Source organism: Homo sapiens, chromosome 10, assembly GCF_000001405.40.
Source record: "Homo sapiens chromosome 10, GRCh38.p14 Primary Assembly".
Lineage (NCBI taxonomy): Eukaryota > Metazoa > Chordata > Mammalia > Primates > Hominidae > Homo > Homo sapiens.
In genome coordinates this window covers 91437912-91464962 of record NC_000010.11, presented here as the reverse complement: position 1 = coordinate 91464962, position 27051 = coordinate 91437912, and the positions used below count along the sequence as shown (strand labels likewise).

At 37.1% G+C, this 27051-nt stretch overlaps 1 protein-coding gene and 1 long non-coding RNA gene across 15 annotated transcripts in view; one reads left to right on the top strand and one right to left on the bottom strand.

Annotated features, from left to right (window-relative positions):
• HECTD2-AS1 (HECTD2 antisense RNA 1) overlaps positions 1 to 27051 on the top strand; it is a 304499-nt gene that overhangs the window by 146498 nt on the left and 130950 nt on the right. The gene's annotated exons all lie outside the window — the stretch shown is intronic.
• Positions 1 to 27051, bottom strand: part of HECTD2 (HECT domain E3 ubiquitin protein ligase 2) — a 105586-nt gene that overhangs the window by 49858 nt on the left and 28677 nt on the right. For 13 of the 14 annotated variants that reach the window (NR_145526.2, NR_104291.3, XM_047424658.1 and 10 more), the window contains exons 3-5: positions 4398 to 4536; positions 3607 to 3709; positions 2779 to 2868 (exon numbers count right to left, since the gene is read on the bottom strand). Coding sequence is in view for 12 of the 14 variants with exons in the window: in NM_001284274.3 (NP_001271203.2) it covers positions 2779 to 2868; positions 3607 to 3709; positions 4398 to 4536 (332 nt within the window). In the remaining 2 variants the exon portion in view is untranslated. Of the gene's footprint in view, positions 1 to 1297; positions 2869 to 3606; positions 3710 to 4397; positions 4537 to 27051 lie in introns of those variants that run through there. The other variant, NM_173497.4, reaches the window with a different exon arrangement.

Sequence of the window (27051 nt, the reverse complement as noted above, 5' to 3'; positions counted from 1 at the left end):
CAAAATACAGTTAGGTTTATTTTCTGTTTGTATTCCATTTTAGGTTCCATTTAGGGTTTTTTCCCTCATATCTGTATATTTAATTTTTTAACATATATAACATATTAATATTCCAAGTCAAAAGAACTCAGAGAGGACTGGTCCATGCTGGGGTAGGCTGAGTGGCTGTGAGGTGGGCTGTGTCATGGGGCCTCAGGCCAACCATGGCCAAGCCCTTGGTGCACAGGTAGCATGGTGTGTGCTCCAACTATAGCTGTGTCAGCATGTTATGATGGCATCCAGTACCAACCTGGCTACCAGAATCCCCAATAGTAAAGAGAAATACTCAAGGCTCTGCAGCACAGTTGATGGCTACATTGACCTTTAGTTTAAGGAAAGTCCTCCTGGCCAGTCTCGGCAGCTGACATCTATAATCCCAACACTTTCGGAGGCCAAGGCAGGAGGACTGCTTGAGGCCAGGAGTCTGAGACCAGCCTGGGCAACATAGTGAGATAAGGGATAATTATCTTATACCTTATACTTATTTCTACTGTCATGTTCCAGTGAAATACCTTGGTAAAATCAAGTATCAGGGTGGGTCCATCTGCAATATTTTTTACTTGCTTTCTTACTGACAGCAACCAGCAATTTTTTAAGCCACAGAGAAACTGTTCAAAATGTAAACACCTTCTCTGTTTACCAATCCTTGGCCAGCTCTGATTTGGTTCCCCAATAGGTTGTTCAGTATATAACTGGGTCATTCTGGCCTTTGTAGATTAAGATGTTTTGTATGTCATCCCTTTAAGAATTGGACTTTTGGCTGTTTCCTAATAAAAAATGTAGGGAAGTGGTTATCATTTAGAATTTATACCCTATTGCTAGCATCTTGTATTATGATGTCATTCTGCTGAAGATCATAAGACTCAGCCTGGATCCCTCGAGGACTAGATTGCCTTAGGTTAATTCTGTTTCTTAGTTTGCAAAAAACGACTTAAATTCAAAAGAAATTAAAATGTCAAAAAAAAATCAAGTTCAGAGAAGTGTACCTAGGAATGGAATTGTTGGGTTACAGAATATGCATATGCTTCATGTTAGGAGATCATGCCAAGTATTTTTCCAAAGTGGTTGTACCAATTTATACTTACATCATCAAGGGATGAAAGTTCCAACTGTTCCACAATATTGCCAATATTTGGTAAGGTTTTTGAAACAATTTTATTAATTTTGATGGATGTGTAATGTTATTTTCATTTCTCCAATGACAAAGGATGTTTATATTTAATAGTGAAGTACTCAGATTGGGAATAAGACAAAGAGGTCTGCTATTACTTCTTTTATTCACAATTGTGAAAGAGGTCCCAGTCAATGCAAACACATACATATATCCATATAAGATACAGGATTAGAAGGAGATAAAACTCTCCTTTTTCACAAATGACAAGATTGTGTACACAGAAAATCCAAGTTAATTTACTGATGTACTATTAGAATTAATGGATGAATATAGCAAAGTACAGTTGACTCTTGAATACAGGCTTGAATTGTGCAAGTCTGCTTATATACATTATTTTCTTTCACCTCTGCCACCTGAGACAGCAAGACCAACCCCTCCTCTTCCTCAGCCTACTCAATAAGGATGAAGACCTTTATGATAGTCCACTTCCACTTAATATATAGTAAATATATTTTATCTTCCTTATTTTTTCTTAATAACATTGCCTTTTCCTTAGCTTACTTTATTGTAACAATATAGTATAGAATACATATAACATAAAATATACGTTAATTGACTGTTTATGTTATCAGTAAGACTTCTGGTCAACAATAGGTTATTAGTAGTTAAGCTTCTGGGGAGTCAAAAGTTATACACAGATTTTTTTTTTTACTGCATAGGGGGTTAGCGCCCCTAACCCTCGCATTGTTCAAGGGTCAACTGTATTTAGATAAAGATAAATATATGAAAGTATTTCCATATATTAGTCACAATTGGAAAATAAAATTATAATAGGATAAAAAAAATGAAGTACCTAGAAATACATGTAATGAGAAATGTGTAACACCTCTATCCAGAAAACTACAAAACATTACCAAGAGAAATTAAAGAAGACCTAGGTACCTAAAAGGATACAGTATGCTTATGGATTGAAAAGATGTCAATTTTTCACAAATTGATCTATAGCAGTATGGTTCTCAAAATGTGGTCATTCTTAACATGTCTTTCACTTCATAGCTAAACTTCTGGAGACTTTGTTTACATTCTGTCTTTATCATTCCCACTTAGTCCTTCAAATATGCATCTGGATTTTTTGAATGGTGACATAATTTTTATAGTATGTGTCACATCATAAATGAACTCATAAATCAACATATCCTGGGAACTTGTTACAAATGAAAATTCTTGGGCTTCACCCAAGACCTACTGAATCTGAAATTCTGTATTTTAACAAGCCCTTCTTGTGATTCTGATACAGGCTAATGTTTAAGAACCACTGATCTACAGATTCAGTGTAATTCCAATATAATTAAATAACTTACCTCCTTTTGCTGAGTAAGTAAAGCATGATTTTAGCAAGTCTTTCTAAAAAAGGATTGGATATAAAAGTATTTGCTGCTTAATTCATAATTAAAAAATAAAAGAATAAAATAATCTAACTTTATGAGAATTCCAGCTACATTTACTATAAAATTGTATCAGAGTTTCTAAGGTAATTATAAGGTGATTTTTACAATATTTGTATGGCTGCTTTTGATATACAGAAGAGACACAGAATAATATTACTTGCATGTCATAATACTTACAGTATTAAGTAAGGTATCATACACAGCATTCACAAATTTAGCATTAATCCCAGAGTCTTCAATGGTGTTAAATGAGGCAGTGGCATCTTTCTGCAAATTCAATTTAAGAATTAAGTATATTCAACATTTTAAAGACTATTCTTAGTAAAATTTGAACCATACTATTCCTTCATAATTTTGATTATTTTTTAGTCTGATAATAAAAAAGAACTGTTAGGGCAAAATTTCTGAAAATAAAAAGAAATGTACAAAGATTATTTTAATAACTTTCTTTTTTAAAAGTGAAGGAATGGAGTTAAACATGAACATTAGAGCAAGTAAAAACAACATTTAAGGGCTGGGTGTGATGGCTTGTATCTATAATCCCAGCAACTTTGGGAGGCTGACATGGGAGGATCACCCGAGGTCGGGAGTTCGAGACCAGCCTGGCCAACATGGTGAAACCCTGTTTCTACTAAAAATACAAAAATTAGCCGGGTGTGGTGACAGGCACCTGTAATCCCAGCTACTCAGGAGGCTGAGGCACAAGAATTGCATGAACCCAGGAGGCAGAGGTTGCAGTGAGCTGAGACTGCACCACTGCATTCTAGCCTGGGCAACAGAGTGAGACTCCATCTCAAAACAAAACAAAACAACCCCCTCAAAAAACCCATATACTTATATAATATTTATAATATTACATAATTGTATGTATTGTATAATTTCTGAAATCAATACATAATATATGCATGTTTAAATCAATATTGGGTAGAAAATGAGGTAAATTTATCATTTTTGGAAAATTTAAAACTAAAAGTGAAATGAAAAGTGTGTTTTATGTATAATTACCTTAAATGCAGCATTTAATTCTGGGAAAGAATCAAACGTTGTTAGATAAAAATCATGTACTGCTTTCCAATCTCCTGATGACTTAACTTTTTCTACATCTTCCCTAAAATGAAAACACATTAACCGTATATACATATAGAAATATTATTCAGATAAACTAGTATTACTTTTTAATGTCACCAAACATGCAATACAAAATACTGAAGCCAAATAAAGAAATATGTCCCAGTTAATATAGTTTATGGATTTATAATTCTTAATTGGATTAAGATATTAATCTAGCTTCAACTTTCCCATTTACTTATTTTTAAAAAAGATCATCCTTAACATGTCGCTCAATTATCGCTCCTTCCTTCCCTTCATAGCTAAACTTCTGGAGACTTTGTTTACATTCTATCTTTATCATTCCCACTTCGTCCTTCAAATATGCATCTGGATTTTTTGAATGGTTACATAACTTTTACAGTATGTGTCACATCATAAATGAACTCTTATTTCTAAAAATGGTAACAGTCTATTATTTAATTACCACCTTTATCTCTTTTTGCCTGTTTTGACTCACAGACTCTTACTTAGTGTTTCCTTTATTTTGCTGCAGCCTATCTAACTCTTCCTGTTATTTATATATTTGTTTTCTTTCACCTTCAACTTGAGACATATAGTCTTTTGAGGTCCTCTTGGCTAATATCTTATAGTGATCCAAAAGTTAATTTCTCAAATAAAGATATTAAATTATGTAAAGTGCTGACATGCAGATGACTATACATTTACATATAATAGCTGAAACTTACTGAAAGTCTTTCACAGTTTTGGGCTGGATAGGAAGAATAGGTTCTGGAAGGACTGGGGCCTTCATTTCGGATGATGATGCATCCATAGATGTACGCTGTTTTTGTCTAACATCAAGGCAAATTGGTGGTGGTTCTCTCACTGTGAAGTATAAAAACACATTCAAAATAATGAATCATTAAACTTTTCAAAATTATAAAATACAAGATTAATTCAACATGAACAGAAAACAAATGAATTATTTTGTATTACATTCACTTTGAGATTAAAGAAAAACCAACCATAGTGAAGGACATTTACTGGAGGGCTTATTCCCCCACTTCACTCACAACACATATTAGGCTGTATCTTACATGGATGTGCATACTTAATATAGAGCTTCTTCCCTTTTTCCCTTCCCCCTCAAAATTGTTTGTTAATGTAATTTAGCATTTCTTTCCTCTCCCCTCTTCCCAAAAGTCATCTTTCCGGGGGTATTTCAATGAGGCTCAATGTTTTTAATGTTTATTAGCTTTTTGAACATAGTCACACATTGCTTAATGATGGAGACACATTCTAAGAAGCATGCCAGTAGGCAATTTTGTCACTGTGTGGACATCATACAATGTACTTACACAAACCTAGATGGTATAGCCTACTACACACTACACACCTAGGCTATATCATATAGCCTATTGCTCCCAGGCTACATATCTGTATAGCATTTTAATGTACTGAATACTGTAGACAACTGTAATACAATGATAAGCATTTGTTTATTTAAACGTATGTAAATACAGAAAAGGTATAGTAAAAATATAGTATTATAATCTAGGGGACTACTGTCATACATGTGGTCTATTCTTGACTGAAATGTCATGACTGTATATGCACTTACGTCCTCTGTAAGTCTTTTAATTTTTATTTCTGGAAACAGAAAAGTACATTATTAGATTCTGCACTTATAAAATGTTGTCATTTCAAGAATGTTATATGAAAGAAATCACACCTATGTAACCTTTTCATACTGGCTTTTAGTTAGCATAATTTTCTGGAGATTCATCCAAGTTGTTGCATATACAGATAGTTCATTTTTATTGCTTAATAGTATTCCACTATTTGGGTGTACCGCTATATGGTTAACTATTCAACCACTGAAGGACATCTGTTTTTAGGTTATTGTAAATAAAGCTGCTAGAAACATTTGTGTAGAGGTTATTGGGTAAAATAATTCCTCATTTCTTTGAGGTAAATATACGGCAGTTGCATGTTTAGTTTTCTAACAGACTGCCAAACTTGTTTTCCAGAGTGGCTGTACCATTTCACATTCCCACCAGCAATATATTAGTGATCCAGTTTCTCTACATACTCACCAGCATTTGGTGGTGTCATTATTTTTGATAGTTGCATAATATTTCTGTGTGATTTTAATTTTCATTTTCCTAATGGTTAATGAGGTTGAACAGCTTTTAATGTGCTTATTTTCCATCCATATATCTTCTTCAGTGAAATGTCTCTTTACATCTTTTGCCTGTGTTCTGACTGGATTACTTTTTTGCTGTTAAGTACTGAAAGCTCCTTATATAGTTTAGATAATAGTCCCTTGTCACTAAAATAGTTTGCAAATGTTTTCTCCACTTTGTAGCCTGTCTTTTCATCCTCTGCACAGGGTCTTTCTCAGAGCAAAACTTTTAAATTTTGATGAAGTCAAATTGATAAATTTTTCTCTTATGGATTGTACTTTTGGTGTCAAGTCTAAGAACTATTTTCTAGTTCTAGAGCCCAAAGATCGTTTCATTTTTTTTCTAAAAGTCCAATAATTTAACATTTAAGTCCATTATCCATTTTAACTTTATTTTTGTATAAGGTGTGAGTTTGGGGTTAATGTTTATTATTTTTTGTTTATAGATGTCCAATCACTCTGGCACCATTTATTGAAAAGGTTATTTTTCCTTCATTGAATTGCTTTTGGACCTTTGTCAAATTACAACTGGGCATATGCCATCAATCCTTGTATCTCTTCCTCCATGGTTATCTCAGTATGATTATTGTAGCTATATAATAAAAACCAGGTAGACTGATTCTTTCAACTTTATTCTTTTAAAAAACAGTTTTACCCATTCCAGTTCTTCCGCCTTTCCAGGTAAATCTGAAAATAATCTTATCTATATCAACAACAAAAAACATACAGGAATTTTGACAGGAAATGCATAAAGTTCCTTTTTGTATCAATTTGGGGAGAATTGGCATCTTTACTACACTAAGTGTTCTAATCCATGAACACAGTATGCCTTTACACTTACTTAGATCTTAATTTCTTTCACCAGCATGGTATGATTCTAAGCATACATATTCTGTAATGTTTGCTAGATTTAAACTTTTTATTCTTTTTTAAGTGATTACAAATGATATGCATTTTTATTTTAGTGTCCGTGTGTTCACTGTTAACATAAAGAAATATAACTGATTTTTGTATGTTTATCGTGTATTCTTCAACCATACTGAACTCACTTATTAATTCTAGGAAGGTTTTTTTTTGAGATTTCATGGGTTTTTTTTTTTTTTTGCATAGACAATTATGCCATCTGCAAATAGGGAAAGTCTTATTTCTTATTTTCTAATCTGTATGTCTTTTTTCTTCTTTTTGCCTTCTTGTATCGGCTAAAATTTGCAGCACTGAGATGAATAAGAGTAAGAGCAAACATCCTTGCATTATTCCCACTATTAAAAGGGAAAGCACTAAGTCTTTAGCCATTAAGAAAAAGGGTAAGCTTTACCAATATAAGGGTACTCCCTTTGATTCTTACCATGTTGAATAAGAGTGCTGAGAGCAGACATCCTTGTCTTGTTCCCAAACTTAAGGTAAAAGCATTCAGTCTTTCACAACTACATAAAATGTTAATTGCAGGTTTTTTCTAGATGCTGTTTATCAAGTAAAAGAAAATAGTCTCTTTTCCTATTTTTCTGGGAGTTTTAATTTTTTTCATTATGAATAGGTGTTGGATTTTGTCAAATTATTTTACTGCATGGAATCATTCTTAGCATGTTAGTATGGTGGATTACATTAATTGATATTTTTAAAACTGAACCATCTAGCATCCCTGGAGTGACCTTTTGGTCATGGTGTATAACTCTTTTTACATATTGCTGAATTTTATTTGCTAATATTTTGTCAAGGACTTCTGCCTCTATATTCATGAGGGATATTGGTCTGTAATTTTTTCTTTTATTTTTTTTAAACTATCTTTCTCTGGTTTTGTTATCAGTGTAATACCAGCTTTGTAAAACAAAAAAGAAGTGTTCCCTTTTCGTCTATTTTCTGGTAGAGATTGTACAGAAATGGTGTTAATTCTTTAAACATTTGGTAGAATTATCTTGTGAGACCATCCGGACGTGAATATTCCTTTTTTAAAGTTTTAAAACTAGAAATCCTTAGTGGTTATAAAACGAGGCAAATTAACTATTTCAAACTGGATGAGCTGCAATAGCTTTTGTTTTTTGAGGAATTGGTCCACTTCATCTGTAATTTATGTGTGTAGAGTTTGCAGTATTCCCTTATTATTTTTTCTGATGTTTACAGGGTCTGTTGTAATATCTCCTATTTCATTTATCATACTGACAATCTACCTTTTTCTGTCAGTCTTCCTAGAGGTTTATCAATTTTACTGATCTTGTCAAAGAGCCATCTCTTTGTTTCATTGATTTTCTCAATTTTTCTGTTTTCAGTTTCACTGATTTTATATTTCCTCCTTCCTGCTTGCTTTCGGTTGATTTTCTCTTCTTTTCCTACGTCCGTGAGCTAAAGGCTTAGATATTTGTTTTGAAACTTTCCCCCTTTTTGACGTATCTCAAAATAATAAGAGCTATTTATGACAAACCCACAGCCAATATCATACTGAATGGGCAAAAACTGGAAGCATTCCCTTTCAAAACTGGCACAAGACAGGGATGCCCTCTCTCACCACTCCCATTCAACATAGTGTTGGAAGTTCTGGCCAGGGCAATCAGGCAGGAGAAAGAAATAAAGGGTATTCAATTAGGAAAAGAAGAAGTCAAATTGTCCGTGTTTGCAGATGACATGATTGTATATCTAGAAAAACCCATCGTCTCAGCCCAAAATCTCCTTAAGCTGATAAGCAACTTCAGCAAAGTCTCAGGATACAAAAATCAATGTGCAAAAATCACAAGCATTCTTATACACCAATAACAGACAAACAGAGAGCCAAATCATGAGTGAACTCCCATTCACAATTGCTTCAAAGAGAATAAAATACCTAGGAATCCAACTTACAAGGGATGTGAAGGAACTCTTCAAGGAGAACTACAAACCACTGCTCAACGAAATAAAACAGGACATAAACAAATGGAAGAACATTCCATGCTCATGGATAGGAAGAATCAATATTGTGAAAATGGCCATACTGCCCAAGTTAATTTATAGATTCAATGCCACCCCCCCATCAGGCTACCAATGGCTTTCTTCACAGAATTGGAAAAAACTACTTTAAAGTTCATATGGAACCAAAAAACAGCCCGCATTGCTAAGTCAATCCTAAGCCAAAAGAACAAAGCTGGAGGCATCACGCTACCTGACTTCAAACTATACTACAAGGCTACAGTAACCAAAACAGCATGGTACTGGTACCAAAACAGAGATATAGACCAATGGAACAGAACAGAGCCCTCAGAAATAATACCACACATCTACAACCATCTGATCTTTGACAAACCTGACAAAAACAAGAAATAGGGAAAGGATTCCCTATTTAATAAATGGTGCTGGGAAAACTGGCTAGCCATATGTAGAAAGCTAAAACTGGATCCCTTCCTTTCACCTTATACAAAAATTAATTCAAGGTGGATTAAAGACTTAAATGTTAGACCTAAAACCATAAAAACCCTAGAAGAAAACCTAGGCAATACCATTCAGGACATAGGCATGGGCAAGGACTTCATGTCTAAAACACAAAAAGCAATGGCAACAAAAGCCAAAATTGACAAATGGGATCTAATTAAACTAAAGAGCTTCTGCACAGCAAAAGAAACTACCATCAGAGTGAACAGGCAACCTACAGAATGGGAGAACATTTTTGCAATCTACTCATCTGACAAATGGCTCATATCCAGAATCTACAAAGAACTCAAACACATTTACAAGAAAAAAACAAACAACCCCATCAACAAGTGGGTGAAGGATATGAACAGACACTTCTCAAAAGAAGACATTTATGCAGCCAACAGACACATGAAAAAAATGCTCATCATCATTGGCCATCAGAGAAATGCAAATCAAAACCACAATGAGATACCATCTCACACCCAGTTAGAATGGCAATCATTAAGAAGTCAGGGAACAACAGGTGCTGGAGAGGATGTAGAGAAATAGGAACACTTTTACCCTGTTTGTGGGACTGTAAACTAGTTCAACCATTGTGGAAGACAGTGTGGCGATTCCTCAAGGATCTCGAACTAGAAATACCATTTGACCCAGCCATCCCATTACTGGGTATATATTCAAAGGATTTTAAATCATGCTGCTATAAAGACACATGCACACGTATGTTTATTGCGGCACTATTCACAATAGCTAAGACTTGGAACTAACCCAAATGTCCATCAATGATAGACTGGATTAAGAAAATGTGGCACATATACACCATGGAATACTATGCAGCCATAAAAAAGGATGAGTTCATGTCCTTTGTAGGGACATGGATGAAGCTGGAAACCATCATTCTCAGCAAACTATCGCAAGGACAAAAAACCAAACACCGCATGTTCTCACTCACAGGTGGAAATTGAACAATGAGAACACTTGGACACAGGAAGGGGAACATTACACACTGGGGCCTGTTGTGGGGTAGGGGGAGGGGGGAGCGATAGCATTAGGAGATATACCTAATGTAAATGACGAGTTAATGGGTGCAGCACACCAACATGGCACATGTATACATATGTAACAAACCTACATGTTGTACACATGTACCCTAGAACTTAAAGTATTAAAAAAAAAAGACACTTTCCACCTTTCTAACGTATGCATGACTGCTATAAATTTCCCTCTCAGCACTGCTGTAGCAGTATCCCACAACTTTTGGTATGTTGTATTACGTTTTTATTTTCATTCCATCTCATCGATTTTTTAACCTCCCTTGAGACTTCATCTTTGACCAATGAATTATTTGGAAGTTGTTTAATTTCCAAGTATTTTGGAGATGCTCCTGTTATTTTCTGTTACTGATTTCTAATTTGACTATAGTCAGAAAACACACTTTACATTATCTCAATTCTTCAAAATTTCAGTTGTTTTATGGCCCAGAATATGATCCATTTTGCTGTATGTCCCACTGGCACTTGAAATGCCACGTGTATTCTGTTGTTGAGTAGAGCGTGCTGTAAATGTGCTGTTGGTTGATGGTGGCACTGAGGTATTCTATATTCTACATACTTGTTGATTTTCTAGCTAGTTCCATCAAATATACACTTACAGTTGGAGACTTCAATACCTAATTGTGGATTTTTTTGTTTCTGGGTTCAGGTCTACCAGTTTTTCTCCTGCAGTTTTTACAACTCTGCTGTTTGGTGCGTACACACTTGTGATGACTATATATTTTGGGTGATTATCCCTTTTATCATTATATAATGTTCCCCTCTGTCTCCATGAGTTTTCTTTGTTCTAAGTCCACTTTATCTGATATTAATGCAGTCATTTCTGTTTCCTTCAATTGATGTTTGCATAAAATGTCTTCCTCTATCCATTTACTTCCAACTTGCTTATACTGTTATATTTGAAGCAAATTTCTTATAAATAGAAAACAGTTGGGTCATGTTTTTGGTTTACTCTGACAATATCTTTTATTTAGACCATTTACATTTAATGTAATTTTTAATAAGGTAGAACTTAAGTCTGTGATTTTATTTTCTATGTGCTCTCTCTGCTTATCATTTCTGTTATTTTCCCTGCCTTTCTGCAGGTTAAACATGTTTTAGAATTCTCTTTTGATTTATATATAGTGTTTCTGAGAGGTTTCTCTAGATATTACATTACATATACTAATTTATCACATGCTACTCATATCGTCATTTTACCAGTTGGAATGAAGGGCAGAAATCCTACCTCCCTTACCATCCCCTGTTTATAATTTTCTTTTTGTGTGTGTGACAGGGTCTTGCTCTTTCACTCAGGATGGGGTGTGGTGGTGTGACCATAGCTAACTGCAGCCTCAAACATCTGGGCTCAAGTGATTTTCCCATGTCAGCCTCCTGAGTAGCTAGGACTACAGGCATGCACCAAAAGCCTGACTAATTTTTAAATTTTTTATGGAGACAAAGTCTCGCTACGTTCCCCAAGCTGGTCTCAAACTCTTGGCCTCAGGCCATCCTCCTGTCTTGGCCTCCCAAAACACTGGGATTACAGGTGTGAGTCACTGCACTCGGCCATAATTTTCTTAAGTATTTCCTTTACATACATTTAGAACCACGCTGGTGTTATAATTTTTGTTTCAACTACCAAATATAATTTAGAAAACATAAGAGGAGAAGAAAAGTCTATTGTATTTATCAATACTTCTGTTTATCACCTTCTTTCCCCTTTCCTCACATCTCAAGTTTCCTTCTTTTGTTTCCTTTCTGTTTAGAGAACTCCTTTATTCTTTTAGAGTAAATGTAGTGGCAACAAATTCTTAGTTTTTCTTCATCTGAAAATGTCTTGATTTCCCTTCCCTCCATTCCTGAAAAATATTTTCATCAGGTATAGGATTCTGCATTGACAGTCCTTTTAGCATTTGAAAAATTTAGTGGCATATCCTTCTGGTGGCCTCCATGGTTACTGATGAGAAATCTGTTATTTCAATGCCTTTTTTTTTGAGGTGCTGCATCTGGTGAAGGCCTTCTTGCTAACAGGGACTCTGCAAAGTCCTGAGGGGGTGCAGGGCATCACATGGTGAGGGGGCTGAGTATGCTAGCTCAAATATCTCCTCCTCTTCTTATAAAGCCACCAGTCCTATTCCCATGATAACCCATGAATCCATTAACCCATGAATGGATTAATCTATTCAAAAGAGCAGAGCCCTCATGACTCAATTACCTCTTAAAGGTCCGACCTCTCAACACTGCTACACTGGGGATTATATTTCAACATGAATTTTGGTGGAAATAAATACTCAAACTGCAGCATTTTCTTTAATGTGTCATTTTTTCCTGGCTGCTTTCAAGATCTTTTTGTTGGTCTTCAGTTTTGACAAGTTTAATTATGATGTTTCTTGCTGTGGATTTCTTTGGATTTCTTCTGAATGAGGTTTGTTTAGCTTCTTGAATCTGCAGGTTTATGTCTTTCACCAAATGTAGAAAATTTTCAGTCATAACTTGGTTACTTTTTTAGCCCTACTGTCTTTTCCTCTCCTTCTGGGACTCTGATAATAGGACTGTAACACCTTTTGTTATAGTATCTGAGGTCCCTGAGATTCTGTTGATTTTTCAGTCTATTTTCTATTGTTAAGACTGGATAATTTCTATTGTTCTGTCTTCCAGTTCATTGATTCCTATCCCCTCCATTCTGTTGTTGAGCTCATCTACAAAGCTTTTTACTTTGATTGTTGTATTTTCTCAAGTATTAATCCTTCTAAAACAACAGAATGATTAATATCTTATAGATTTTAAGGTCTATAATAATGAAATATACATATATAGAATTTAATTCTACTGTAATGTAATCAGGATATATTTTCAACTATGCAAACACAGGCATATCAATAGTCACAGAAGTAACATAGCTAATAAGGTCTTCCTTCCTTCTTTACCTACCCTCCTATTCAAGCATCTATCCTTGGCTCTACCATCAACTTTAATAAGCAAAGATAAATTTCATTAGTGTGGGGGTTTAAACTTCCATATTAGAAGATAGTATAAACATGCTAATTTTTTTATACAACAGCAATGGTTTCCAAACTTTACTGTAAATCAGAATAACCTGGAAAACTTGTTAAAACATGGACTACTGGGCTGTCCCCAAACTTTGTGATTCAGTAGGTCTGGAGTGGGGCACAAGAATTTGTATCTTTTTTTTTTATTATTATACTTTAAGTTCTGGAATACATGTGCAGAACGTGCAGGTTTGTTACATAGGTATACATATGCCATGGTGGTTTCCGGCACCCATCAACCTGTCATCTACATTAAGTATTTCTCCTAATGCTATCCCTCCCCTGGTCCCAATCCACCGAAAGGCCCCAGTGTGTGATGTTCCCCTCCCCAGGTACCTGTGTTCTCATTGTTCAACTCCCACTTATGAGTGAGAACATGTGGTGTTCGGTTTTCTGTTCCTGTGATAGTTTGCTGAGAATAATGCTTTCCAGCTTCGTCCATGTCCCTGCAAAGGACATGAACTCATCCTTCTTTATGGCTGCATAGTATTACATGGTGCATATGTGCCATACTTTCTTTATCCAGTCTATCATTGACGGGCATTTGGGTTGGTTCCCAGTCTTTGCTGTTGTGAACAGTGCTGTCATAAACATATGTGTGCATGTGTCTTTATAGCAGAATGATTTATCATCCTTTGGGTGGTAAAAGGATAAAACCCAGTAACGGGATTGCTAGGTTAAATGGTATTTCTGGTTCTAGATTCTTGAGGAATCACCACACCATCTTCCACAATGGTTGAATTTACACTCCCACCAACAGTGTAAAAGCATTCCTATTTCTCCACATCCTCTCCAGCATCTATTTCCTGACTTTTTACTGATCACCATTCTAACTGGCATGAGATGGTATCTCATTGTGGTTTGATTTGCATTTTTCTAATGACCAGTGATGATGAGCCTTTTTTCATGTTTGTTGGCTGCATAAATGTCTTCTTTTGGGAAGTGTCTGTTCATATCCTTTGCCCACTTTTTGATGGTTTTTTTTTTTCTTGTAAATCTGTTTAACTTCCTTGTAGATTCTGGATATTAGCCCTTTGTCAGATGGATAGATTGCAAACATTTTCTCTCATTCTGTAGGCTGCCTCTTCACTCTGATGATAGTTTCTTTTACTGTTTAGAAGCTCTTTAGTTTAATAAGATGCCATGTGTCAATTCTGGCTTTTGTTGCCATTGTTTTTGGTGTTTTAGCCGTGAAGTCTTTGCCCACGCCTATGTCCTGAATGGTACTGCCTAGGTTTTCTTCTAGAGTTTTCACAGTATTAGGTTTTACATTTAAGTTTTTAATCCATCTTGAGTTAATTTTTGTATGAGGTGTAAGGAAGGGGTCCAGTTTCAGTTTTCTGCATATGACTAGCCAGTTTCCCCAGCACCATTTATTAAATAGGGAATCCTTTCCCCATTGCTTGTTTTTATCAGGTTTGTCAAAGATCAGATTACTGTAGATGTGTGGCATTATTTCTGAGGTCTCTATGCTGTTCCATTGGTTTATATATCTGTTTTGGTACCAGTACTGTGCTATTCTGGTTACTGTAGCCTTGTAGTTTGAAGTGAGGTAGCAATGATGCCTCCAGCTTTGTTCTTTTTGCTTAGGATTGTCTTGACTATATGGGCTCTTTTTTGGTTCTATATGAAATGTAAAGTAGTTTTTTCTAATTCTGTGAAGAAAGTCAGTGGTAGCTTGATGGGGATAGCATTGAATCTATAAATTACTTTGGGCAGTATGGCCCATTTTCATGATATTGATTCTTCCTATCCATGAGCACAGAATGTTTTTCCATTTGTTTGTGTTCTCTCTTATTTCCTTGAGGAGTGATTTGTAGTTCTCCTTGAAGAGGTCCTTCACATACTTTGTAAGTTGTATTGCTAGGTATTTTATTATCTTTGCAGCAATTGTGAATGGGGGTCACTCATGATTTGGCTATTATTTGTGTATAGGAATGCTTGTGATTTTTGCACATTGATTTTGTATCCTGAGACTTTGCTGAAGTTGCTTATCAGCTTAAGGAGATTTCTGGCTGAGAGGATGGACTTTTCTAAATATACAATCATGTCATCTACAAACATGATTTGACTTCCTCTCTTCCTATTTAAATGTCCTTTATTTCTCTCACTTGCCTGATTGCCCTGGCCAAAATTTCCAATAATATGTTTATAGGAGTAGTAAGAGAGGGCGTCCTTGTCTTCTGTCAGTTCTTAAAGGGAATGCTTCCAGCTTTTACCCATTCAGTATGATATTGACTGTGGGTTTGTCATAAATAGTTCTTATTATTTTGAGAAACACTCCATCAATACCTAATTTATTGAGAGATTTTAGTATAAAAAAGTGTTGAATTTTATCGAGGCCTTTTATACATCTATTGAGGTAATTAAGTGTTTTTTGTCATTGGTTCTGTTGAAATGGATTACGTTTATTGATTTGTGTATGTTGAACCAGCCTTGCATTCCAGGGATGAAGCCAACTTGATCGTGGTGGGTAAGTTCTCTCACGTGGTAGATGAGCTTTTTGATGCGCTGCTACATTTGGTTTGCCAGTATTTTACTGAGGATTTTCATATCCATGTTCATCAGGGATATTGGCCTGAAATTTTCTTTTTTTGTTGTGTCTCCGCCAGGTTTTGGTATCAGGATGATGCTGACCTCATAAAGTGAGTTAGGGAGGAGTTCCTCTTTTTCTGTTGTTTAGAATAGTTTCAGGTGGAATGGTAACAGCTCCTCTTTGTATCTCTGGTAGAATTCACCTGTCAATCTGTCTGGTCCTGGGCTTTTTTTGGTTGGTAGGCTATTAATTACTGCCTCCATTTCAGAACTTGTTATTGGTCTATTCAGAGATTCGACTTCTTCCTGGTTTAGTCTTGGGAGTGTGTATGTGTCCAGGAATTTATCCATTTCTTCTAGATTTTCTAGTTTATTTGCATAGAGGTGTTCATAGTATTCTCTGATGGTAGTTTGTATTTCTGTGGGATCAGTGGTGATATCCCCTTTATCGTTTTTTATTGTGTCTATTTGATTCTTCTCTCTTTTCTTCTTTATTCGTCTGGCTAGTGGTCTATCTAGTTTGTTAACCTTTACAAAAAACCAGCTCCTGGACTCATTGATATTTTTGAAGGGTTTTTCATGTCTCTATCTCCTTCAGTTCTGCTCTAAACTTAGTTATTTGTCTTCTGCTAGCTTTTGAACTTGTTTGCTCTTGCTTCCCTAGTTCTTTTAATTATGATGTTAGGGTGTCAATCTTAGATCTTTCCCACTTTCTCCTGTGGGCATTTGGTGCTATAAATTTCCCTCTGAACACTGCTTTAGCTGTGTCCCAGAGATTCTGGTACGTTGTGTCTTTGTTCTCGTTGGTTTCAAATAACTTACTTATTTCTGCCTTAATTTCGTTAGGTACCCAGTAGTCATTCAGGAGCAGGTTGTTCAGTTTCCATGTAGTTGTGCGAGTTTCTGAATCCTGAGTTCTAATTTGATTGCACTGTGGTCTGAGAGACTGTTTATTATGATTTCCATTCTTTTGCATTTGCTGAGGAGTGTTTTACTTCCAATTATGTGGTCAATTTTAGAATAAGTGCAGTGTGGTGCTGAGAAGAATTTATATTCTTTTGATTTGGGGTGGAGAGTTCTGTAGATGTCTATTAGGTCTGCTTGGTCCAGAGTTGAGTTCAGGTCCTGAATATCCTTGTTAATTTTCTGCCTTGTTGATCTAATATTGACAGTGTGATGTTAAAGTCTCCCACTATCATTGTGTGGGAGTCTAAGTCTCTTTGTAGGTCTCTAAGAATTGCTTTATGACTCTGGGTACTCCTGTATTGGGTGCATATGTATTTAGGATAGTTAATTCTTCTTGTTGCATTGATCCCTTTACCATTATGTAATGCCCTTCGTCTTTTTGGATCTTTGTTGGTTTAAAGTCTGTTTCATCAGAGACTAGGATTGCAACCCTTGCTTTTTTTTTTCTTTTTTTTTCTTTTTTTTTTTGCTTTCCATTTGTGTGGGAAATATTCCTCCATCCCTTTATTTTAGCCTATGTGTGTCTTTGCACATGAGATGGGTCTCCTGAATACAGCACACCAATGGGTCTTGACTCTTTTTCCAATTTGCTAGTGTGTGTCTTTCAACTGGGGCATTTAGCCCATTTACATTTAAGGTTAATATTGTTATGTGTGAATTTGATCGTGTCATTATGATGCTAGCTGTTTATTTTGCCCATTGGTTGATGCAGTTTCTTCATAGTGTCAATGGTCTTTACAATTTGGTATGTTTTTGCAGTGGCTGGTACCAGTTTTCCTTTCCATATTTAGTGCTTCCTTCAGGAGCTCTTGTAAGGCAGGCCTGGTGGTGACAGAATCTCTCAGCATTTGCTTGTCTGTAAAGGATTTTATTTGTCCTTTGCTTAGGAAGCTTAGTTTGGCTGGATATGAAATTCTGGGCTGAAAATTCTTTTCTTTAAGAATGTTGAATATTGGCCCCCACTCTCTTCTGGCTTGTAGGGTTTCTGCAGAGAGATATGCTGTTAGTCTGATGGGCTTCCCTTTGGGGGTAACCTGACCTTTCTCTCTGGCTGCCCTTAACATTTTTTGCTTCATTTCAACCTTGGTGAACCTGACAATTATGTGTCTTGGGGTAGCTCTTCTCAAGGAGTATCTTTGTGGTGTTCTCTGTATTTCCTGAATTTGAATGTTGGCCTGTCTTGCTTAGGTTTGCGGAAGTTCTCCTGGATAATATCCTGAAGGGTGTTTTCCAACTTGGTTCCATTCCTCCCGTCACTTTCAGATACACCAAAAAAACGTAGGTTTGGTCTCTTCACATAGTCCCACATTTCTTGGAGGCTTTGTTCGTTCCTTTTCATTCCTTTTTCTCTAATCTTGTCTTCACACTTTATTTCATTATGTTGATCTTCAATCTCTGATATCCTTTCTTCTGCTTGATCAATTCAGCTATTGATACTTGTGTATGCTTCATGAAGTTCTCATGCTGTTTTTCAGGTCCATCAGGTCATTTATGTTCTTCTCTAAACTCGTTATTTTGGTTAGCAATTCCTCTAACCTTTTATCAAGGTTCACAGCTTCCTTGCCTTGGGTTAGAACGTGCTCCTTTAGCTCGGAAGAGTTTCTTATTACCCACCTTCTGAAGCCTACTTCTGTCAATTCGTCAAACTCATTCTCCATCCAGTTTAGTTCCCTTGCTAGTGAGGAGTTGTGATCCTTTGGAGGGGAAGAGGCGTTCTGGTTTTTGGAATTTTCAGCCTTTTTGCACTGGTTTTTCTTCATCTTCGTGGATTTATCTATGTTTGGTCTTTGAGGCTGGTGACCTTTGGATGGGGTTTTTGTGTGGACATCCTTTTTGTTGATGTTGATGCTATTCCTTTCTGTTTGTTAGTTTTCCTTCTAACAGTTAGAAGGAAAGGTCTGCTGGAGTTTGCTGGAGGTCCACTCCAGACCCTGTTTGCCTGGGTATGGCACAGCAGAGGCTGCAGAACAGCAAAGGTTGCTGCCTGTTCCTTCCTCTGGAAGCTTTGTCCCAGAGGGGCACCTGCCAGATGCCAGCTGGAGCTCTCCTGTATGTGGTGTTGGTCAACCCCTGCTGGGAGGTATCTCCCAGTCAGGACACATGGGTGTCAGGGACCCACTTGAGGAGGCAGTCTGTCACTGGTGTTCTAGGCGCCACTGGGTTATAAAAAAAAAAATTCCTGCAGCAAGTTCGGTGTCTGCTCAAATGGCCACCCAGTTTTGTGCTTGAATCCCAGGGCCCTGGTGGCATAGGCACCCAAGAGAATCTCCTTGTCTGTAGGTTGTAAAGACCATGGAAAAAGTGTAGTATCTGGGCCGGAGTGCACCGTTCCTCAGGGCACAGTCTCTCACGACTTCCCTTGGCTAGGGGAGGGATTTCTCTGATCCCTTGTGCTTCCCGGATGTGGCAAAGCCTCACCTTGCTTCAGCTTGCCCCCCACAGTCTGCACCCACTGTCTAACCAGTCCCAGTGAGATGAGCTGGGTACCTCAGTTGGAAATGCAGAAATCACCTGCCTTCTGCGTTGATCTCACTGGGAGCTGCAGACCGGAGCTGTTCCTATTCGGCTGACTTGCCAGCCACTCCCTCTTCTTTCATTGTATAATGTCTAAACTGAGGCCCAGGGACTTTAATTGCTTATCTAAAGTTAAAAATTTCACAACCCAGCCAGCAATATGACCCAGTCCCATACTTCTAAGACTGCTTTTTCATTACTTATTACTTATTTAATTAAAAATTATTTATATTGAAACTCAAGGCACAGCATTTTGCAAGAGCGTGTAACCAGCAGCAAACTTTTTTATATCACTATTTCCTCTCTAGTGGCAGAGGGATAAGGAAGGGAAGCCCAGGTTCTTCCTACTGAACCTCCAATCTTCATAGACTCTTCTTTACCTCCAATACTGCTGTTGCCATCTGTGCTGGCTAGCCAGGAACAGTTATCAATCCCCTAATCATGTGGCCAATTCAAAATGTCAGTCTTTGTTTTGTCGGGTGTAGTTGTAGAAAGCTGCATTTTCCAAGTTTCCAACGAGAGTTGTGACGTCTGTGAAAACAGTGAGCTAGCAAAATTTGGCTGATAATCTCACACCCTTACACATAGTTATATTCTGATCTTTACATTTTTGAATATACTGCCAACCCCTACCACAGCCCTTATTCTTCTTACATTGGCTTCTAGTGTTTTACTTAATGTTTCTAAGCAACCAGCTAAAATTGGCAACAGTATATTAAAAGAAAGGGAAAACGATTACTGCTTATCAGTTCAGCACAGTGTTCATAAGTTCGCTGAATGAACCCTAAATGATAGATTTTCACTGATAAATATATTTTGGCTTTTTTCACTGTATTATGATATTCTGTATTGCAGAAAAAGTTGCATATGATAGAACAAAGATTTGCCTCTATTTATAATGTCAGTTTGAGGTCTAATTAATCCCTCATCACCATGGTTATTGATTTTCTCTTTTTGAATTATATTTTAAGAATCATCTGTGAGAACAGGCAGAAAGCCTGTCTCTGGAAACAATGCCTTGATATTCAGGGACTTGAGAACAGCTGCAGTCTGTTATTTTTCTTTTCTTAATAGCTGAATGTCGCATCCTGTAGTTTGGTTTTCATTCACTAATCTGAGCAAAGGATTCTGCCTTTCTTTCTAATTCAAGTTCCATTAACATAGTGTGTTAACATTCTGCATGACTCTTCAGTTTAAGTTACCTTTTCAACTAAAAATAAATCCCATCTGGGCTTCTGGTTTCTAAACTTACCCTATAATCCTCTTGGCCTTGGCATTACTATTTCTCTTATGTAAGAATCTCTCCACTCTCAGGCTCTGCCAAAATCCAGTTCTTTTACTAATTCAAATTTCACTCTTCCACCTCAACATGGTATTAATAAAATGAGTGGATATAAAACTGTGTATATATGCTCTGTGTGTGAATAAGTTAATTTATATTTGAATGAATCTGTTTGTATTTAATTGTAGGTGTTTATAGCCAGGTTGGGAAAAAGTGTGTGGGAAGGGATAAGAAAGGGTAAGTAAGCCTGGTAAAGAGGAAGAAAAACTCTATAGGAGCCACAAAAAATAATAGTAATAAGACTGGTGTTGAAGAGAGGAGATGACTATCATTTATTTATTTTCTGCTGCTGAGATGCCCTTTTCTTTCCCTTTCATAAAGATTACCAAATATAATCTATAAGAAGCCATTTGTGGAGATACCTAATTTTACTTATTTGTAAATTGAACCTCTGTCCAATTAGTGTTTGCAGTAGAAATTACTAGACATTGGATGTTGCCATATTTAATAAAGGATATAAAATTGTAACACTGAAGTAGATTTAATAAACTCTTCTGTGTCATCAGCACCATTGTTCTCTCATTTAAAACCATGGAAGAGTGTTTCGTAGTATTTTGTGCAGACTAGCAACATCAGCATCATCTGGGAACATCTAGAAATACAAATTCTTCCTGGGGGAAGGGGCGACTGTTTGTGCAGCTTCAGCAGACTTAAGCATTCCTGCCTGCCAGCTGTGAAGAGAGCAGGAGGATCTCCCAGCACAGCGCTCAAGCTCTGCTAAGGGACAGACTGCCTCCTCAAGTGGGTCCCTGACACCCATGTGTCCTGACTGGGAGATACCTCCCAGCAGGGGTTGACCAACACCACATACAGGGGAGCTCCAGCTGGCATCTGGCAGGTGCCCCTCTGGGACAAAGCTTCCAGAGGAAGGAACAGGCAGCAACCTTTGCTGTTCTGCAGCCTCTGCTGTGCCATACCCAGGCAAACAGGGTCTGGAGTGGACCTCCAGCAAACTCCAGCAGACCTTTCCTTCTAACTGTTAGAAGGAAAACTAACAAACAGAAAGGAATAGCATCAACATCAACAAAAAGGATGTCCACACAAAAACCCCATCCAAAGGTCACCAGCCTCAAAGACCAAACATAGATAAATCCACGAAGATGAAGAAAAACCAGTGCAAAAAGGCTGAAAATTCCAAAAACCAGAACGCCTCTTCCCCTCCAAAGGATCACAACTCCTCACTAGCAAGGGAACTAAACTGGATGGAGAATGAGTTTGACGAATTGACAGAAGTAGGCTTCAGAAGGTGGGTAATAAGAAACTCTTCCGAGCTAAAGGAGCACGTTCTAACCCAAGGCAAGGAAGCTGTGAACCTTGATAAAAGGTTAGAGGAATTGCTAACCAAAATAACGAGTTTAGAGAAGAACATAAATGACCTGATGGACCTGAAAAACAGCATGAGAACTTCATGAAGCATACACAAGTATCAATAGCTGAATTGATCAAGCAGAAGAAAGGATATCAGAGATTGAAGATCAACATAATGAAATAAAGTGTGAAGACAAGATTAGAGAAAAAGGAATGAAAAGGAACGAACAAAGCCTCCAAGAAATGTGGGACTATGTGAAGAGACCAAACCTACGTTTTTTTGGTGTATCTGAAAGTGACGGGAGGAATGGAACCAAGTTGGAAAACACCCTTCAGGATATTATCCAGGAGAACTTCCGCAAACCTAAGCAAGACAGGCCAACATTCAAATTCAGGAAATACAGAGAACACCACAAAGATACTCCTTGAGAAGAGCTACCCCAAGACACATAATTGTCAGGTTCACCAAGGTTGAAATGAAGCAAAAAATGTTAAGGGCAGCCAGAGAGAAAGGTCAGGTTACCCCCAAAGGGAAGCCCATCAGACTAACAGCATATCTCTCTGCAGAAACCCTACAAGCCAGAAGAGAGTGGGGGCCAATATTCAACATTCTTAAAGAAAAGAATTTTCAGCCCAGAATTTCATATCCAGCCAAACTAAGCTTCCTAAGCAAAGGACAAATAAAATCCTTTACAGACAAGCAAATGCTGAGAGATTCTGTCACCACCAGGCCTGCCTTACAAGAGCTCCTGAAGGAAGCACTAAATATGGAAAGGAAAACTGGTACCAGCCACTGCAAAAACATACCAAATTGTAAAGACCATTGACACTATGAAGAAACTGCATCAACCAATGGGCAAAATAAACAGCTAGCATCATAATGACACGATCAAATTCACACATAACAATATTAACCTTAAATGTAAATGGGCTAAATGCCCCAGTTGAAAGACACACACTAGCAAATTGGAAAAAGAGTCAAGACCCATTGGTGTGCTGTATTCAGGAGACCCATCTCATGTGCAAAGACACACATAGGCTAAAATAAAGGGATGGAGGAATATTTCCCACACAAATGGAAAGCAAAAAAAAAAGAAAAAAAAAAAAAAAAAAAAAGCAAGGGTTGCAATCCTAGTCTCTGATGAAACAGACTTTAAACCAACAAAGATCCAAAAAGACGAAGGGCATTACATAATGGTAAAGGGATCAATGCAACAAGAAGAATTAACTATCCTAAATACATATGCACCCAATACAGGAGTACCCAGAGTCATAAAGCAATTCTTAGAGACCTACAAAGAGACTTAGACTCCCACACAATGATAGTGGGAGACTTTAACATCACACTGTCAATATTAGATCAACAAGGCAGAAAATTAACAAGGATATTCAGGACCTGAACTCAACTCTGGACCAAGCAGACCTAATAGACATCTACAGAACTCTCCACCCCAAATCAAAAGAATATAAATTCTTCTCAGCACCACACTGCACTTATTCTAAAATTGACCACATAATTGGAAGTAAAACACTCCTCAGCAAATGCAAAAGAATGGAAATCATAATAAACAGTCTCTCAGACCACAGTGCAATCAAATTAGAACTCAGGATTCAGAAACTCGCACAACTACATGGAAACTGAACAACCTGCTCCTGAATGACTACTGGGTACCTAACGAAATTAAGGCAGAAATAAGTAAGTTATTTGAAACCAACGAGAACAAAGACACAACGTACCAGAATCTCTGGGACACAGCTAAAGCAGTGTTCAGAGGGAAATTTATAGCACCAAATGCCCACAGGAGAAAGTGGGAAAGATCTAAGATTGACACCCTAACATCATAATTAAAAGAACTAGGGAAGCAAGAGCAAACAAGTTCAAAAGCTAGCAGAAGACAAATAACTAAGTTTAGAGCAGAACTGAAGGAGATAGAGACATGAAAAACCCTTCAAAAATATCAATGAGTCCAGGAGCTGGTTTTTTGTAAAGGTTAACAAACTAGATAGACCACTAGCCAGACGAATAAAGAAGAAAAGAGAGAAGAATCAAATAGACACAATAAAAAACGATAAAGGGGATATCACCACTGATCCCACAGAAATACAAACTACCATCAGAGAATACTATGAACACCTCTATGCAAATAAACTAGAAAATCTAGAAGAAATGGATAAATTCCTGGACACATACACACTCCCAAGACTAAACCAGGAAGAAGTCGAATCTCTGAATAGACCAATAACAAGTTCTGAAATGGAGGCAGTAATTAATAGCCTACCAACCAAAAAAAGCCCAGGACCAGACAGATTGACAGGTGAATTCTACCAGAGATACAAAGAGGAGCTGTTACCATTCCACCTGAAACTATTCTAAACAACAGAAAAAGAGGAACTCCTCCCTAACTCACTTTATGAGGTCAGCATCATCCTGATACCAAAACCTGGCGGAGACACAACAAAAAAAGAAAATTTCAGGCCAATATCCCTGATGAACATGGATATGAAAATCCTCAGTAAAATACTGGCAAACCAAATGTAGCAGCACATCAAAAAGCTTATCCACCACAATCAAGTTGGCTTCATCCCTGGAATGCAGGGCTAGTTGAACATACACAAGTCAATAAATGTAACCTATCACTTAAAAAGAACCGATGACAAAAACCACACAATTTTCTCAATAACTACCGAAAAGTCCTTCAATAAAATTCAACACCCCATTCATGCTAAAAACTCTCAATAAACTAGGTATTGATGGGATGTTTCTCTTAATAAGAGCTATTTATGACAAAGCCGCAGCTAATATCATACTGAATGGGCAAAAGCTGGAAGCATTCCCTTTTAAAACTGACACAAGACAAGGATGCTCTCTCTCACTACTCTTATTCAACATATTATTGGAAATTTTGGCCAGGGCAGTCAGGCAAGAGAAAGAAAGGGCATTTAAATAGGAAGAGAGGAAGTCAAATTGTCTCTGTTTGCAGATGACATGATTATATATTTGGAAAACCCCATCATCTCAGCCCAGAATCTCCTTAAGCTGATATGCAACTTCAGCAAAGTCTCAGGATACAAAATCAGTGTGCAAAAATCACAAGCATTCCTATACACCAAATATAGACAAACAGAGAGCCAAATCATCAGTGAACTCCCATTCATAACTGCTACAAAGAGAATAAAATACCTAGCAATACAACTTACAAAGGATGTGAAGGACCTCTTCAAGGAGAACTACAAACCACTGCTCAAGGAAAGAAGAGAGGACACAAACAAAGGGAAAAACATTCCATCCTCATGGATAGGAAGAATCAATATTGTGAAAATGGCCATACTGCCCAAAGTAATTTATAGATTCAATGCTATCCCCATCAAGCTACCATTGACTTTCTTCACAGAATTAGAAAAAACTACTTTACGTTTCATGTGGAACCAAAAAGAGCCTGTATAGCCAAGACAATCCTAAGCAAAAAGAACAAAGCTGGAGACATCACACTACCTGACTGCAAACTATACTACAAGGCTACAGTAACCAAAACAGCATGATACTGGTACCAAAACAGATATATATATATAGACCAATGGAACCGGATAAAGGTCTCAGAAATAATGCCACACATCTACAATAATCTGATCTTTGACAAATCTGACAAAAACAATCAATGGGGAAAGGATTCCCTATTTAATAAATGGTGCTGGGAAAACTGGCTAGCCATATGCAGAAAACTGAAACTGGAATCCTTCCTTACACCTCATACAAAAATTAACTCAAGATGAATTAAAGACTTAAGGATTAAACCTAAAACCATAAAAACCCTAGAAGAAAACCTAGGCAATACCATTCAGGACATAGGCGTGGGCACAGACTTGATGACTAAAACATCAAAAGCAATGGTAACAAAAGCCAAAATTGACAAATGGCATCTAATTAAACTAAACAGCTCCTGCACAGCAAAAGAAACTATCATCAGAGTGAAGAGGCAACCTACAGAATGGAGAAAATGTTTGCAATCTATCCATCTGACAAAGGGCTAATATCCAAAATCTACAAGGAACTTCAACAAATTTGCAAGAAAAATCAACCTACTCCATCAAAAAGTGGGCAAAGGATATGAACAGACACCTCTTAAAAGAAGACATTTATGTAGCCAACAAACATATGAAAAAAAGCTCATCATCACTCGTCATTAGAGAAATGCAAATCAAAACCACAATGAGATACCATCTCATGCCAGTTAGAATGGCGATCAGTAAAAAGTCAGGAAACAACAAATGCTGGAGAGGATGTGGAGAAACAGGAACGCTTTTACACTGTTGGTGGGAGTGTAAATTAGTTAAACCATTGTGGAAGACAGTGTGGCGATTCCTCAAGGATCTACAACCAGAAATACCATGTGACCCAGCAATCCCATTAATGGGTATATACCCAAAGGAAGATAAATCATTCTACTATCAAGACACACACACATGTTTATTACAGCACTGTTCGCAATAGCAAAGACTGGGAACCAACCCAAATGCCCATCAATGATGGACTGGATAAAGAAAATATGGCACATATGCACCATGGAATACTATGCAGCCATAAAGAGGGATGAGTTCATGTCCTTTGCAGGGCATGGATGAAGCTGGAAACCATCATTCTCAGCAAACTAACATAGGAATAGAAAACCAAACACTGCATGTTCTCACTCGTAAGTGGCAGTTGAACAATGAGAACACATGGACACAGAAAGGGGAACATCACACACCAGGACCTGTCAGTGAGTGGGGGACTAGGGAAGGGATAGCATTAGGAGAAATACTTAATGTAGATGACGGGTTGATGGGTGCAGGCAACCACCATTGCACGTGTATACCTATGAAACAAACTTGCACGTTCTGCACATGTATCCCAGAACTTAAAGAAAAAAAAAAAGATGGCTTAAGTCAGTTGTTCCTAAGGTTTCAAAAAAGAACTTCAAGGTCTACCTGAGGGGAATGGTGCTGAATGAATAGGTTTACTCACAGCAACTCTGCTTAATATAATTATGCTCTAATAAATTGTTTTTTTAAAAAAAGTGTTTTGTCACAATCAAAAACAAGAACAAAAATAAG